The 16,373-nt window shown below is 46.6% G+C and overlaps 2 annotated features.

Moving 5' to 3' along the window:
- Nucleotides 6,462–7,058: an enhancer, noted in NCBI's record as "H3K4me1 hESC enhancer chr15:27947009-27947605 (GRCh37/hg19 assembly coordinates)". NCBI's record gives its function as "activates a minimal SCP1, AML or CMV promoter by ChIP-STARR-seq in primed H9 embryonic stem cells {active_cell/tissue: H9 hESC(primed)}" and the evidence as "EXISTENCE:reporter gene assay evidence [ECO:0000049][PMID:30033119]".
- Nucleotides 13,581–14,780: an enhancer, noted in NCBI's record as "MED14-independent group 3 enhancer chr15:27939287-27940486 (GRCh37/hg19 assembly coordinates)". NCBI's record gives its function as "activates an origin of replication core promoter dependent on BRD2, BRD4, P300/CBP and CDK7 cofactors, and independent of MED14, by STARR-seq in HCT116 cells {active_cell/tissue: HCT116}" and the evidence as "EXISTENCE:reporter gene assay evidence [ECO:0000049][PMID:35650434]".

Raw genomic sequence — 16,373 nt, 5'->3', positions numbered from 1 at the left:
GTATTTTATAGTTCTGTCAAAAGCAAAAGACAAAGAGAATCTTGAATGTCACATGAGAGAAATGACCAGTTACATACAAGGGATCCTCAATAACATTAACAGAAAAAAACATGGAGGCCAGATGGCAGTGTGGTGATATTATTTAAAGCATTGAGAGGAAAAAATAATCTATCAACTAAGAATGTTATATCTAGCAAAAGTATACCTCAAAAGTGAAGGAGAACTTAATACTATCCCAGAAAAACAAAACCTGAGGGAACTTGTTGCTAGTGGACCTGCCTTATAAGAAATGCTACAAGGAGTACTTGAGGTGTAAAAGAAAGGCTGCTAGTTATTAGATGCTTGAGTTACTACACAGTAACTCAAATCTATACAAAGAAATAAAAAAGTCTGGTAAAGGTCATTACATAGATAAATATAAAAGCTAACATTATTCTGGATTGTAGCTCCTCTTTGTTTCCTGTATGATTTAAAGGACACATTTATAAAACAATAATTATAAATCTTTGCTAATGGGCACACAATGTATAAAGATGTAATTTGTGACAATGACAACATAAAGGGAAAGGCTGAAGCTGGGTAGGAGCAGATGGGCTGACAGGTGCTGAAGGCTTATATTTAATGAGATTTAGTACAAAACTCTGAAGCTTTCCAGACTCACAGGGGTGATATTTTGATGAAGTAACAGGAGAGAGAGGGTGTTTGGCATCTCCTTTAGAAGTTATAGCTTATGACACTGTCAAGGCAAAAATTGTACCTGACAAAGTTATAAAGGCAAGAACTAATGTATTCAGATTATTGCAGTGGGAATTGTTCAACCCCACTGAAACAACAGACAGGAGGGTTTGTAAGTGGACGACACTACTAGGGGAAGGTTGATCAGTGGGATGAAGCCTGCACACTGAGTGCTGTCTTGGGTAATATGTAATATCTTAATCTCATTCAGAAATGTCTTGGGCAGAGTCCTGTAACAATGAAGGTAGTGGAGCCTGGTCCACTCTGGCCATGGGTCAGGCTGGCAAAGGCTAAGAAGTGGTTGTGGGTGCCACCTGGGGCAGGAGGTGGGGTGGAGAGTGCCCCAGATTCCCACGCTGGGCTGGTGGCCATGCTGAGGAGCTGGGGCTGGCCTGGGCAGAGGATGACTGGGACCTCCTTAGTCTTGAGCAGCCCCTCTGCCACTTTGAAGAACTTTGCAGTCTTTCTCCTTAGAGTCTGCATTTCCGGAAGTTTAAGGGCTGCCCAGAAAGTCTCCTTGCACCCAGCAATAAGCTGGCAGAGCTGTTCAAGCAGAGAACCAGGCAGGGGAGCAAAAGTGGCTTCTCTGCTCTTTGGAAGCACTGGCAGCACAGCTGTGCCCTGCAGAAGAAGATGAAGAATCTCAGACACATAAACCTTCATTGCCGTGGCAGAGGATGAATCTGAAAGAGGAAGGTGGAGTGCGGGTCACATTTACTCTGGCTGGCCCTAACCCTCCCTCCCTGGAAGCCAGCCATGTAGCTAGGCAATCATCCAGACCCACTCAGATGGGGTTTCCAGCAGTCCCTGGTGTTGCCCTGGCCATTCTCTAATGCCAGCTAATGAGGGGCAGCCAGTGGAGCACATGGACTGACCCTCTGAATTAACTCACCACTGGGGGACAGCATCTCTGGATGACCTCATCAAGCATTTGAGAACAGTGGCATGATCAAGATGCTGTGAAAATGGTTTGTTATCATTTATTCAATTAGAAATGGGCTTCCATGCTTCAAACATTTATATTTAGATATAAAATTTAGCTTCCAGAAATACCCTGGTAAAAATGTTATTTCAATGCAAACTTTTTTTTTTTTTTTTTTTTTTTTTTTTTTTTGTAATTCAAGAAACCAAGAAAGATAAAATCAGGTCACAGCTGTCTAGGGCACTAAGGAAACTAATCCAAATAAAATCTACCCTGAGCTTTCATAAAAAACCAAGGGAGGAGGAGGTTTAACTATTACCTACCAATATTACAAACAGCAGTGCATGCATATATTCTCCAAAGACAGGTAGAATGTTCAAATCAGCATTGTACATAGTAGCCCAGCTAGAAATTGCCAACTGTCCATCCACAGCAGAATGGATAAATACCGCATGAAACATTCACACAATGGAATAGTGCTGAGTGGTGAAGATAAATGACCTGCAACAAAGACACACACCAATATGGATGAACCTCCGGGCACAAATAGCACCTACGGCACAATTCTATTTACAGAAACTAAGAAAAGAGGCACAGCTGACCCCGGATGTTCAAGTCAGTAGAGAGACAGCCAGGCTGGTGTGCGCCTGTGATCTGGAAGGGGAATGGTGCCAGGTGGGCTGTTTGTGGAGCTGTACAAGATGACCTGTGGTTTGTGCATGTCCTGCCTCACTAGGAAGGTGTAGACAGCCACCTGGCAGGTAGTACAGTGACAGTCTCTGTGATCTGGGTGTGACAGCCACAACTTCTGAACTCCTGTCTCATGTGGTTTCGGTTGGTCACACTGAGATGCATGACAGTCCGCCTAGATTTGATTGTGAATAGAAAATAAGGCACGAGCAATGCTACATGGGGGCAACATTGCAGGATGGTTTTGCCTGTTCTTCCTACATTTAATGCTACACAAATGAAAACGTTCCATGTGGAATAACAACCAGCATCGTGTCCAACTGAGAGTAATTAGATGGGAGGATGTCTGCCAGGTTCAGAGCAGACAAGTCTTGGTTTCCAAACCTAGAAGTCAAATGAAAAACTTCCAGGCCTCAATGTGTTGAACTCTGAGAAGAAATACATTTTCTTTTCTTTTAAAAAAAAATTGTGGTAAAATACAGAAACATACAGTTTGCCAGTGTAGCCATTTTTCAGTTCCGTGGTATTGAGTACATTCAGGATGCTGCGCAACCATTACCGCACCCGTCTCCAGAACTTCTCCATCTTCCCCAGCAGAAACCCCGAAGAAAGGCATTTCTATAGCCGTGCCTCGTTATCCCCTTCCCCGACACTCTCAGCAGCCTGTCTGAAGGAACTTTAAAGGCAAGTCTCTCTCGAGAGCAGTGGAAAGCATTCATTCAATCATAAGTGCATTCATTCTCCTACTCCGCTGGAGAAGGCATTATAGGTCACTATTTATACAGCTTACAGGCAACTTCAAATAAGTGTTGAATAATTGACGAAAATTCATTCAGCTATTAAATAGTTTTTATGTGTGTTTTAACTTAAAAATTATTTTGCATCCACTATCAAAGCCGATAACTGTGGATGGAAATTTCCAGATAGTTACTCGTGCTTCCATTAAACCTTTGCAGTACTTTTTAGGAAGGAAAATAATTCTGACAAATTGCAGTAATACAAATCATACCTTTTATTTTATTTTTAAATCTCAGTCACAAGAAATAAATAATTTTAAAAAAAGAATAAGAGTTTTCATAAGAAGGGTGCCGTGAAAATCATTCCAGGTAGCTCATGAACTTCTGCAGGTGGCTGGGGCACAGGCGGTGGGTGGGCCATCCTCACAGATTAGCTGTCAGAATGCGATTAAAACATAACCCACTCTTTGAGAATTGCTCATGCTGGCTGGTAGATTTCCCAGTTCTTTAAACCTGGTGAAGGGAGCGCACCCTGAGGCTGGCTAAAAGCTGGGTTGCCAAGGCAACAGGCAGCCTCCACGGTCCTACTCCTCCATGGAGCCTCTCCCTAAGCCAGCTTAATACAGTGGAACACTCGGTTTCCTGGTGCCAGCATAGGCATCTCTGTCCTCCTGACCAGCTGCATGGAACTGGTGTTTCTCACAAAGCATTTGGCCAGGAAAATGCAGACCATGGTGACAAGGAGTTAGAGTTAGTTTGACAGGAAGTTAGTTCATGTTCTGGCCTTAATGACTCTCTAAAGGGATGTGTCAGATTTCATATCAGACAGAAGGTAGCTTAGAAGAGCTTGTAGGAGGTTGCTATTTAAGCATTAGGAATGGCCAGCCCGTGGGATTCCTGGAGGTTTGTGTATCTCGCTTGCCTGCACAAAAGGCTGTTGGGTCCACCAGGGGCTGTCTTGTCCTGGCCTGTCCCGGAGGAGACAGTGAAAGGGCACCCAGAGGGGAGCAAACAGGCGACACTTGTGCAGAGCTGCCCCAGCCTCTTCTCGGGCTTCTGGAGGTGGTAGGGGGGGTGCCTATTTCAGGAAACACGGGCTTTGGGCCTGACAGAGGGTTCCATCCTCCTGCTGTGTATGATTAGTCCATTCTCATGCTGCTACAAAGAAATACCCAAGATTGGGTAATTTATAAAGGAAAGAGGTTTAATTGACTCATGGTTCCACATGGCTGGGGATGCCTCTGGACACGTACAATCATGGCGGAAGGGGAAGCAAACAAGTCTTATAGGGCAGCAGGCGAGAGAGTGAAGGGGGAAGAGCCCCTTATAAAACTATCAGATCTTGTGAGAATTCACTCACTAACAGGAGAGCAGCATGGGGGAAACCGCCCCCATAATCCAACCACTTCCCTACCTTGACACGTGTGGATTACAATTCAAGATGAGATTTGGGTGTGGACACAGAACCAAACCATAGCCGTGGTTAACTGCTTAGAATGCAAAAACAAAAACAAAAACAAACAAACAAAAAACATTGAGCACCCACTTCCCGCTGCAGGCTTTCTGTCTGCATCTTCCCCTCCAAAATCCCCCAAACCCAGGGAGGCAGGCGCTCTTACTACCTCTACACATGAAGAAAGGGAGGCTCAGAGAGATGAGACATTCTCAAGTGGCAAGCCAGCAGCTGCATCCAAGGCTTCCTCTCCGAATCTGCCTTCAGCACCTCTCGCCCTCTTTCTGGCCGTACGATCTACTGGAAGAAGAAATATCCCTCCCCCTCCTTGTTCCGCACCCTCCTCCAGGTACTGTGGTCTGGATCTGGAGGGAGGAAGTACTCGAGGGGCTGCTCCTTGGTGCTGAGCTGTCTCTGCTCTCGGTGGAGGAGTCCTTCCCAGAACATTCTCTGAGGGCTCTGGAGTCTGTTGTCACTCACCTTCCTTCCGCCCTCATCCACCTGTTCCACTACAACATTCATTGCGTGTGCTTGCAATGAATGAGGCTTTTAGTGAGATAATGTTTCTCCCGTAACCCAAGGCTTAGGTGGAGTAAAGTCTTGGTTCCAAGACAAGACAGAAGAGTCTTAAGGGGAAGGGTCATGTCTTATGTTTATCTTGCATCCCCAATTCTCAATGAGTTCATTGGCTTGGACAGGCCTTGAGAAGAAAGTCCGTTTTTCACACAGCCCCCAAATGTAGCTTACACCCCTGTGGCCATGACCAGAGGCAGAGGAAGGCCCTGAGGACTCTCCTCCCCAGGCTTCCAGGTAGGTGGATCTGGGAGGCCTGAGCTGAGGGATGCATGCCCAGTCCTCAGCCCCTTCTCAAGAAGGCTGTGGTGAAAATCAAATGTGCAAAGTGCACGAAGTGGAAAATCCTTACTACAAGTATAAATAGCTAATAATTAGGTGGAAAATGTTCTTAAGTCTACTCCAAATAGAAAAGAGGGAAGTTTTCTCTTATCTGCAGGGCACAGTGCCTGGTACCCACTAAACACTTAATGAATGTCAGCTTCATTCTTCTTTCTCCCAACTGAAATGTGTGGCAATGATCTAAGGGAGGGGGAACATGATGGGAGGAGAGCTGGGGCCAGGGAAGCAGTGGAAGAGGAGAAAAAGAATAAAGAAGATGAGACGATTGCCCTTTAGAGTTAGGGGAAGCCTTGGGTGACTCATCAATGTTAAAAGGGCCAAAATCCAAATGGGAGGACGTCAACTTGGGATTGTCCGAGGCTCAAGGCACAGTGGATGGAACAAGGTTTGGTGGGTTTCAGCTCTAGAGCAGCGTAACATTCACCAAATTAAGTCACTCAACCTCTGGGGGCTTTTTGTTTTATTCTTCATTTTGAAAATAACAGTATCTGCCCTGTGCACATCATAGAGCTACTCTGAGATGCCTTTTTAACATTTTATGAAATTGGAAGAGATGATAAAAAATTATGATATGATCTGTTGTTGGGAGAGTAAACAACCGATGGTTTCCAGACAACGACTTGGCAAAATATATTAAGGCATTGAAATATACATCTCCTTTAACCCAGCTAACCACTTCTGAGAACTTCTCCCGGGAAATGATGAGAGGGAGCTAAAGGAATTCTGAGCAAAGATGCTCACAGCCATATGTCAGTAATAGGGAAAATCTGGAAATAACACATGTCTAACAGAAATGTTTCGGTGCTTTAGCCAGTAAGCAACTCTTAAAATGATAAGTGCTTACTGAAAGAAAAAGACATTCTTCACATAGGGAGTTAAAAAAGCTTTAGAATCATAAGAGTATCATTTAATATTTTCCAAGCATATTCTGAAAGAGGGGCTTCACGATGGCCGACTGGAGCATCTGGCGCTCACCTCCTCCACAAAGAAGAACCGAAATAGCGAGTGGAGAACCACACTCTGAAGGGATAATCTAAGCGAGAACTCTGGAATTCAACTGAGAAGTAACAGGCAACACCGGAGGCAAGAGAGGAGAGGGAGATGGTGCAGCCTGTCGGCCAGGATAGGCGGGGAACCTGGAGGGGCTCCCCAGTGTGGGGAAAGAGTAAGTCAGAGACCCTCAGGGGTCTGCATCCCACCCCAGACCCCTGCAGTCCTAGCCAGGGCAGACCCCCTAGGCCCTCGCAGGCTGTGGCACTAATGCAGGGAGCTGCCTGGAGACCGCACGATGGCATGGATCCAGAGAGGGAGCTCACGCTGCCTCCCACACACCCTGAGTCCTAAGCAGCTTCCTCACAACGCCATTTTGAGCACACAGCCTGGACCACACTGCAGCCAGCCCAGCAGCCCCTGAGCTCCACACTGGCAGCCGCATTGACAACCCCACCTTGTAGCCACCACCATTGCTGCCTACTGCAACTGAGAACGAAGCGCGTGCCACTTGCAGCCACCCTGCCGCCCCAGTAGTGGGGCTGCTGAACATTTACAAGCGCGCTGAGGACAGGCTATCCTGCCCACAGCTGCTGAAGAGCATGCTCCCCAGCTGCCTGCCCAAAGCTGCTGCTCCCGAAAGCAGCCCCTTCCTCCCTCCAGCAACAGGGCTGCAGGGCAGCTGCTTCCACCTCCACCAGAGCACTGCCCTGGGGGCCTGGGGATCACCCAGCCCCCGCCTAGCACAGCCAGCCCTGCAAGCACCACCGTGGGGACCTGAGGACAGGCTTGCCCTGACCACCCCCACCAAGGAAACCAGACCCCTATCTCCCACCACATAGAGAAATCAACTCAAGATGGATTAAAGCCTTTAACATAGGACCTATTAGAACAAAACAAACAGAGGAAACATTTCAGGATCTTGGTCTCGGCCAAGGTTTTATGTCTAAGACCTCAAAAGTATAGTAATAGAAACAGAAACAGACAAATGGGACTCTATGAAACTGAAAAGCTTTTGCACAGCAAAGGAAACAACAGAATAAAGAGAAGCCTGTTGAATGGGAGAAAATATTTGTAAACTATTCATCTGACAAAAAACGAATATCTGGAATATACAAAAAACTCTAACAATTCAATGTAAAAAAAAAAAACCCAAATAATCCAATTAAAAAGTGAGCATAGGACATGAATAAACATTTCTCAAAAGAAGACGTGCAAATGACCAACAGGTATATGAGAAACGCTCAAAGCCAGTAATCACCAGGGAAATGCAAATGAAACCACCATGAGATGAGATGTCATAGTATACCAGTCAGAATGGCTAGCATTAAAAAGAAAAAAATAACAAGATACTGGCACAGATTTGAAGAAAAACTCTTATCCAATGTTGGTGGGAGGATAAGTTAGTACAGCTACTATGGAAAACAGTAGGAAGATTTCTCAAAAAACTAAAAATAGATCTACCCTACGATCCAGCAGCCCCACTTCTGGGCATTTACCCAAAGGAAAGGACATCAGTATATCATAAAGGATAACTGCATCTCCATGACTATCACAGCACTATTCACAACAGCAAATATATAGGATCAACCCAAGTGTCCAACAATGGGTGAATGGGTAAAAACATGTGGAATACTATTCAGCCATAAAAAGTAATGAAATGCTGTCGTTTGCAGGAACATGAATGGAACTGGAAGTCATTATGCTAAGTGACATAGGCCAGGCACAGACAGGCAAATACCACATGTTCTCACTCACATATAGGAGCTAAAAAAGTTGATCTCCTGGAGGTAGAGAGTAAAATGACAGATACTAGAAGCTGAGAAGAGTGTGTGAGTGATAAGGATGAGGACGAGATACAGAGAGGTTGGTTAATGGGTACAAACATACAGTAAGGTAGAATGAATAAGTTCTAATGTTCAGTAGCCGAGTAGGGTGACTGTAGGTAACAACAATGGAGTATAAGTTTCAAAATAGCTAGAAGAGAGCTCTTAAAGTGTTCCCAACACATGGAAACGATAAATACTTGAGGTGATGGACATCCTGAGCACCCTGACTGGATCATTACACATCCTAGGCATGCAGTCAAATATCACAGGTACCCAATAAATATGTACAAACAGTATGTATCAATAGAAAGTAAAAAAAAAAAATAAGAATTTGAAGGATATACCTGAAAATATTATAATAGTATTCCCCTAGTTGGAATGTGTGATCATACAGATCTTATATATTTTTTGCAATGAGTTTATGTCTTTATTTGGGTAGAAACGTATACAGAAATATCTCTACAATATTTCTGTTAAAGTAGACAGCCCCACCCAGTAAGGAATTCCCTTTCTGCTATTCCAGATGGACAGTTGTGTAGGTACCTTTTAAAATCACCTTCTATGTCAGGGAGCTCCCTTCCTCCCAGGGCAGCACTCTGTTCCCAGAGGTTTCTTCCTTGTCACCTACATTTGTAGTCTCCCTGTGTTGCCGTGCTTCCATCTCCCTGACATACTGGTGCTGCTCTGCTATGGCTCTGCCTTTCCCCCGGCTCCTGGCAGGCAGGCAGGGGTGGCTCGCCCAGCGTCACACTGCAAGCTGACCTCTCTGACCCTCCCAGTCTGTCTCTGTCAAGCTGAGCTTGGACATTGCTTTGAGCACCTGAAGTCCCTTGACTCATTTTATCCTCAGACCTCATCTGTGCAGTCACATGCTCACCAGTGGCTGTCCAGCCACAGACAGCTTAGCCACCTTGACTGCAGTTTTGGGGGGAGTCAGAGGCACATCTGGTCCTTCCCAAAGTCTGTGCACAAAGTAGACCTCCTCTGGTGTGCCTGTCCCCCTGGTCCCCATCCTTATTGGGTGTGCACCCCATTAGCCTCCCTCTTCCACCTTCTATATCTAGTCATCCTTCATCCCTCCTCTTTTCTCCCACATGTATGTTCTTCCCAGGCATCCATAATCTAGTCACCGCCCTCCATTGCTAATAATCTCTCTTTCCTCTCACCAGCAATTAGATTAAAAGACCAGCTGTCCACACCTGGTCACTCTGATCCACTGTAATCTGGTTTCAGTCTCCAGTATCCTACTGAAGCCAGTTAGGTCCTTAGTAAAGGCATGTTTCAATAGATATTCCTAGAGAGAACAGGGAAGCTTGGTCAACGGTGTGCAAGTCCTGTGTGAGATGTGTGTCCCTGTATTAGGCCATTCCTGCATTGCTGTAAGGAAACACCTGAGACTGGGTAAAACAGAAAGGTTTAATTAGCCCACAATTCTGCAGGCTGTACAAGCATGGCACCTGCATCTGCTCAGCTTCCGGGGTGGCCTCAGGGAGGTTTTAGTCATGGCAGAAGGTGAAGCGGGAGCAGGCACGTCACATGGTGACAGCAGGAGTTACAGAGAGAGTGTGGGCAGGCGTCACACACTTTTAAACAACCAGATCGCCTGTGAACTCACTCATCACCAAGCCCATGTGGTGCTAAGCCATTCCTGAGGGCTCCACCCTCATGACCCAATACCTCCCCCACCAACCCCAGGCCCCACCTCTAATAATAGGAATCACATTTCAACATAAGATTTGGTGGGGACACAGACCCAAGCCCTCTCTCCTTGGAGATGTCCAGTGACATGGCATACTGAGATTATTAGGACGTCCCGTCCAGAGGAAATCTGCTAAGCTCTGCGTGACCATTTCTCAGCTGACCTTGTCTACAGAGCACTTTCAGCCCTCGGGACATGCATTGCCATCATGCAGATGGGACTGCCCCTCAGGACCCAGCCTGAAGACAGAGCTTTGGCTGCACCAGCCCCACCGTGGACCTCTCCTGCTTCAAGTTTTCTTGCTCCTGGGGTTGTCCAATGAGGTCTCCTTCCTCTCTCAAGACTCAGCTCACGTGTCTCACTCTCTGCGAGGCTGAGCAGGCGCCTTCCCTGGGACATGCACCCTTTCTTCATGGAGCCCTTTGCTTGAGCCCCTGTGACCACAGATGGAGCTCTCCTTGGCAATGACCCATGCTTTTGCCCTGACCCTGGCTGCCAGGTAGGGATGCACAGAGAACCACCAAGCATCCTGTGCCCGACCAATAATGAATGCAGGTGAAAAGGTAGAATGAAATGGCAGACGACCTTAGACAGTGTGAGGAAGAAAGCCAATGGAGCGAAAGGCACTGGGGGATTCTACTCCTCTCCATGATGACCTTCCCAGAGGCTTGTCCCCTTCACTTTCTGTCCCCCGTCCTTGGGATGGAACGCACGTATCTGCTTTCTGGACACACTCCTCTGTCACCGACCTTAGGTGCTTGCCCTGGTCTTGCAGGTGTGACATCAAGTACTGGTGTGCCTGCGGACATCTGAGGTGATGGGCAGGGAGCTGCCCATTTTGCCTGGGTTTTCCAGGTCATTGAAACACGGGGTCTCATTGTGTGTGTGTAGTATGACTTCCTGATTTACAAACCCAACTGCGTGTGGAAGGGAGGTCTTAATTCTAATGGGGGTGGGAACATCCTAATGGCTGGGTCTGAGGCTTTTGAACAGATTAGCAAATACAGCTGGGCTCTCAGCCTGCAGACTTTTGAAGCACCAGGAAAAATCACACACCCACCACAATATCAAAGGTGCAGAGGAATCGCAGCAAGTCTGGTATTGCTTTTGAAACTCAGGTTTCCTGCAGTCCTCTGGCAGATGCCGTGGCTGCTCTGCCCAAAAGAGATGTCAGCTCCCTGGAGTGCTGGGTGGCCTGGGTGTCACCTGGGCAACCAGTACTTTCTCCACGGCCTGTATGAGGAGAGCCCGGAGCCTGTGCTGGTGGTGGGGAAGTGGAGTGGGGGAGGCTGGAAGCTCAGCCTCCGCAGAGCCTGTGTTTTTCATGTGGGCGTTCTCTCTTATGATACCCTCTTCTTTTTCTCAATGAATATTTATTAAGCATTGACTGGATGCCAAGTACAGTTCTCGGTGCTGGGTACACAGCTGTGAACAAGACAAGATGCCGTCCTCACTGGGCTTCTGTTCTGCCGCGGGAGAACATGATCCGTAACCAACAAGTGGAGATTGTGTGGGCTATTTATGAGAAACAACGTATTTCTAATAAAATATGTTTATATATATATAAGATATATGTTTATATATATAAGATATATATTTATTTACATATCACAGGGACAGGGCAAAGGAGACAAAAGTGACTGCATTTCCTGGTGATTTATAATTTGCAAAGACATTTCACTTTGCAGTGTCTCCTGACACTGCATTTATTTCTCTGATCTGGAAACTGCCCTCCCAGGTGCAGACGTCACCCTTCCTTAGGGATATATGCTGAGCTCTGAGCACCCTGGGGCCTCTGTGGGAGCCTGTCCAGGTCTGTGTTGTTGGGTGCTGCAGGGCTCACAGCATTTCGAGGGCAGGACAGGTGCACCTTTCATTCACTGGGACATGAAGGTAGGTGGGAGGCCTCTTCGTGCTTGGGGAGGCACATGATCAAGTGCTGCTGGTCCAGGCATGGGCACACAGAGGACGTGGAGGTGGCACGGGGTGTGGAGGAGGCCACTGACCCTAGCTTTGTTGGGGTGCTGCCCAGGTTAGTCAGCGGGAGCTTTGGGGAAGACAAGATACCTAAACTGGCAGCTCATCTTGCTTTAGACCAGAGTGAGTCTGTAGCTGGATGGCCCAGGATAGGTAAACAGGAACAGGGCAGCCCTCACAAGTGCACTCTGCTAGACAGCCCAGCCATCTCTGGGCACCAGCGTGTGGCTCTGGCCTCTTGCCTACCTGCCTAAAGCCTGCCATCACCTCTCTCTCTGTAACACCTCTGTGCACTGTGCACTTCTCCAAAGCCACAAGAAGAGCCTCTTAATGCTGAGAGGAAATAGCCAGGGCTTTTGGAAAAGGATTCAGCACATGTTCTCTACCCACATGGCTCCTGGCCGGTCCCTTCCTGCGTGTCCTGGCTCATTGCCATGACTCTCTCCACACCTGCGTGGGAAAAGCACTCAGCACCGTTTTATCTTATAGGAGCATTGAGTGTGTTTGTGTGTGTGCGCCATACCGTGTGGCCTGTGTGTACAGTATATGTAAGTGTGTGTGCAGGGCGTGTGCCTGCAGTGCATGTGCATGTGGGGTATATGTGTGTGGGGTGTTCATATGTGTTCTATAGTGTGAATCTGTGTGTGTGGTGTTGGTATGTGGTATGGTATGTGTGTGTAGTGTGAGTGTGTTTGTATGGTGTGTGGTACAGGTGTGGGGTATGGACTATCTTTGGGCTGTGATATGGTGTCTGTGTGTATGTGTGTGTGTGGTGTGGGGCATACATGTGTGTGTGGTGTGGTATGAGTATGCATTTATGTGTGGTATGTGTGTTGTATGTGTGTGTAGTGTGGTGTGTGGTATGTGGTGTAGTGAGTGTGCATTTGTGTGGCATGTGTGGTGTGGTATATGAGTGCATTTGTATGTACTGTGCATGTGTTTGTGGTGTGTGGTGTGTTGGGGGATGTATGTGCATTTGGGATGTGTGTCTTGGTGTTTCTGGTTGCTGGAATCAGGGAAGCCAAGCGAGAGACATTCTGACATTTCCAAATGGCAGCAGTGACTGGCTTACTAGGCTTCTTCCAACATTCAGAAAGATGAAAAGAGAAAAACTACACTCTGCAGGCCATTGTTGGTCAGAAACAATCCCATTCAAACCAATTGGTTTTGAAGCATTTTGCTTTTCTCTCCTATAAAATCCTCTAATTATTTTGAGTGAACATCTGTTACTTTGTTTGTATTTCGGTTGGACTGGAAGGCAGAGTAAGAATATTCTTTTCAAATGACTGTTTCATAGCCAAGCAAACATATAGACAGCCTCAAAGCCAGAAAAGGTGAAGAAACATAAAATATGAAGCTTAAATGGCTAAAAGAGATTGGGATTAACCAAAGTAGCATGTCAAACGATGGGGGAGTCACAGTCGTCTGAAATCCTCGACCACAGCCCCAAGTCCGTGGCGTTTCTCCCCCACGCTCCCCTGCACGTGCTGATTTCTGTAGCTTGGGACTCCCTGCGCTCTGTTCCTCTCAGCAGGCCCCGCTCCGCCTCCTCCCTGCAGCCTTCAGCTCTATACCCTCCGTGACACTGACTGGCCTTGGCCCCATTAAGCATCTTGTGGACCTGTGCAGGTGGCTTGTCATAATTCCATTATGTTTATGAGAACTATGGTTTAGTGTCAGCCCTTTCCTATTTTCCTTTATCTCTATAATTTGAAACAATCAGCAAAGAAAAGTGTCTGCAAACAAACACACACAGCCGGGCAGTCACGGTGAAGCTTCTTGTTGGGAATAATGCTCAAAATCTTAAGGAAATTGAACACTTAAACAAAGGATTCTTAGCAAAGCAATTTTACTTCTGTGCAGAAGAATGCTTCTCTTTGGCCAGTTGCCATGAGAGCACACCTGAACAAAGGGGCATAAGAGCCTTCATTCTTGATGCAAGTCCTGCCTCTGTACTTTTTCCTCATTGGCTGGGGTTGGGCCGTACAATCTAAACTAATCTTGGTTGGCTAAATACTTGAACTTTTCTTCAGATAAGGTGGGCATATAAGGGAGAGAGGGGAGAGGGGAAGGGATGTCTGCAATGACCTAGAGAGCTAGTCTTCTTTCCAAATAAGGAAAGGAATGTGAGCTGGTACTGATAAGCCTGATACTGTGGCGTGTCCGGGCATGCAACAAAGGCAGAAAAGAGAAAAAGGAAAAGGGGCGGGGTGGTACTATGAATTAAAGAATAAAGGATTGATCAGGCTATTTGAAGAGAAACCTCATCATATCCCACATTCTTAAAGGGGTTGTGGGCCGGCAAGCAGCGTGTTCCTTGACCAGCTATGGACAGAAGCAAAAACTCAATTGTCTTAGTTTGTTTTCTTTTGCTATATTAGGCCACTCTTGCATTGCTATAAAGAAATACTTGAGACTGGGTAATTTCTAAAGAAAAGAGGTTGAATTGGCTCACAGTTCTGTAGGATTACAGGAAGCATGGTGCTGGCATCTGCTTGGCTTCTGATGATACCCCAGGAAGCTTACAATCATGGCGGAAGGTAAAGGGAAAGCTAGCGTGTCACATGGCAGGAGCAGGAACAAGTGAGAGAGGGTGGGAGATGCCACACACACTTTTTTTTTTTTTTTTGAGATGGGTGTTTTTTCACTCTTGTTGCCCAGGCTGGAGTGCAATGGCGTGATCTCAGCTCACCGCAACCTCTGCCTCCCAAGTTCAAGCGATTCTCCTGCCTCAGCCTCCCGAGCAGCTGGGATTACAGGCATGTGCTACCACACCTGGATACCATCCACTTTTAAACAACTAGATCTCATGAGAACTCACTCACTATCACAAGAACAGCACCAAAAGGAGTGTGCTGAACCATTCATGAGAAATCCATGCTCCAACCCAATCACCTCCCCCCAGGCCCCATCTCCAACACTGGGGATCGCAATTCATCATGAGATTTGGGTGGGGATACATATCTGAAATATATCAGTTGCTTATAACAATATCTGAGACTGGGTAATTTATAAGAAAATAAATTTATTTCTTACTGTTCTGGAGGCCGGGAGTTCCATGGTTGAGGGGCTGCCTTTGGTAAGGGCTCCTTGCTGTGGGGACTCTCCGCAGTCTTGAGGGGGTGCAGGGTGTCATACGACACAGGGCTAAGTGTGCTAGGTAGGGTCTTTTTTTTCTTCTTCTTATAAAGCCCCACTTTCATGATAACCCATCAATCCACTAACCCATTAATCTGTTAATCCATCAATGGATTAATCCATTTGCAAGACCAGAGCCCTCATGATCCAGTCACCTCTCAATACTGCCACATTGGGGATTAAATTTTAACATGAGTTTTGGAGGGGCCAAACTTGCAAACCATAGCATTGATCTTCAGGAGACAATTTGAGGCAGGAATTGGCACTCTCTCTATGAAGGGCCAGAAAGCAAATATTTTAGGCTCTGCAGACCACACATGTCTCCATGGTGACCATTGATTCTGCTGCCACAGTGAGAAAGCATCATAGATGTAAATGAATGGGTGTGGACGTGTTCTTATAAAACTGTATTTGACACTGAAGTTTGAAGTTCATGTAATTTTTATGTGTCATGAAGTATTCTTCTTTTGATGGTTTTTCAACCATTTGAAAATGTGAAAACCATTCTTAGCTCGAAACTGCATGCCAACAGAGAGGGGCTGGATTTGGCCCTGAGGAGACATTTGCTGTGCACACTAGAGAAGCTGGGAATGCCTTGCCCGCAGCCCTCCCCAGGCGGCCCTAGCCCCTCATGGGTGGGGTGCTTTCTTCTCAGGTTCCAGACATACAGAGGGCCTCAGTACATGTTCAGAGAACACATGCGTGCTGAACCCTGAGCCTCTCCTGCCTTATCTCTCCCCAACCAGGAGCGATGCACCACCTTTCCCTCAAGCAACCTTCCCTTGTTCTTATTTTGGCCAGCCCCTTCCCTGTGGGCACACATGCAGGCTTTCAGGCTGTCCTGTGGGATCACTGCAGGCTCAGTGGGCTACTCACTTACTGGGCGTATTAGCCTAGGGGAAAACTTTAATTCAATTACATTTTTGCTTGTCTTAACCCAACTGTAGAAACCAAAGTTACACCTGCTCCAGGTAACATTTGCATTTTAGCAAATGTCTTTCAGGCCTTCACATCGGAGCTAGTGGCCAGGCTAATTAAGGGGTACTTTTTGATAGCTTTATCCACCCTTACAAAAATAAGCCGCTGAAGGTAGCTCCTGAGGCGTCTAGAAAGGTAAGCTCTTTTAGCCATTATACTTGGTTCAGTGCTCTTCTACCAACTGGCTGGCAGCAAAGTGAAAATCCAGGTGCTAATTATAGACCATTTCTATTTCTGCTGCCAAGAAATGGCTCATCTTTTCACGCTTCATGATGGGAGTGACGGACAACAAAATATTCCTCTCCAAAAT

Source organism: Homo sapiens, chromosome 15 (genome assembly GCF_000001405.40).
Source record: "Homo sapiens chromosome 15, GRCh38.p14 Primary Assembly".
Lineage (NCBI taxonomy): Eukaryota > Metazoa > Chordata > Mammalia > Primates > Hominidae > Homo > Homo sapiens.
This window is presented reverse-complemented; position numbering and strand designations above follow the sequence as displayed.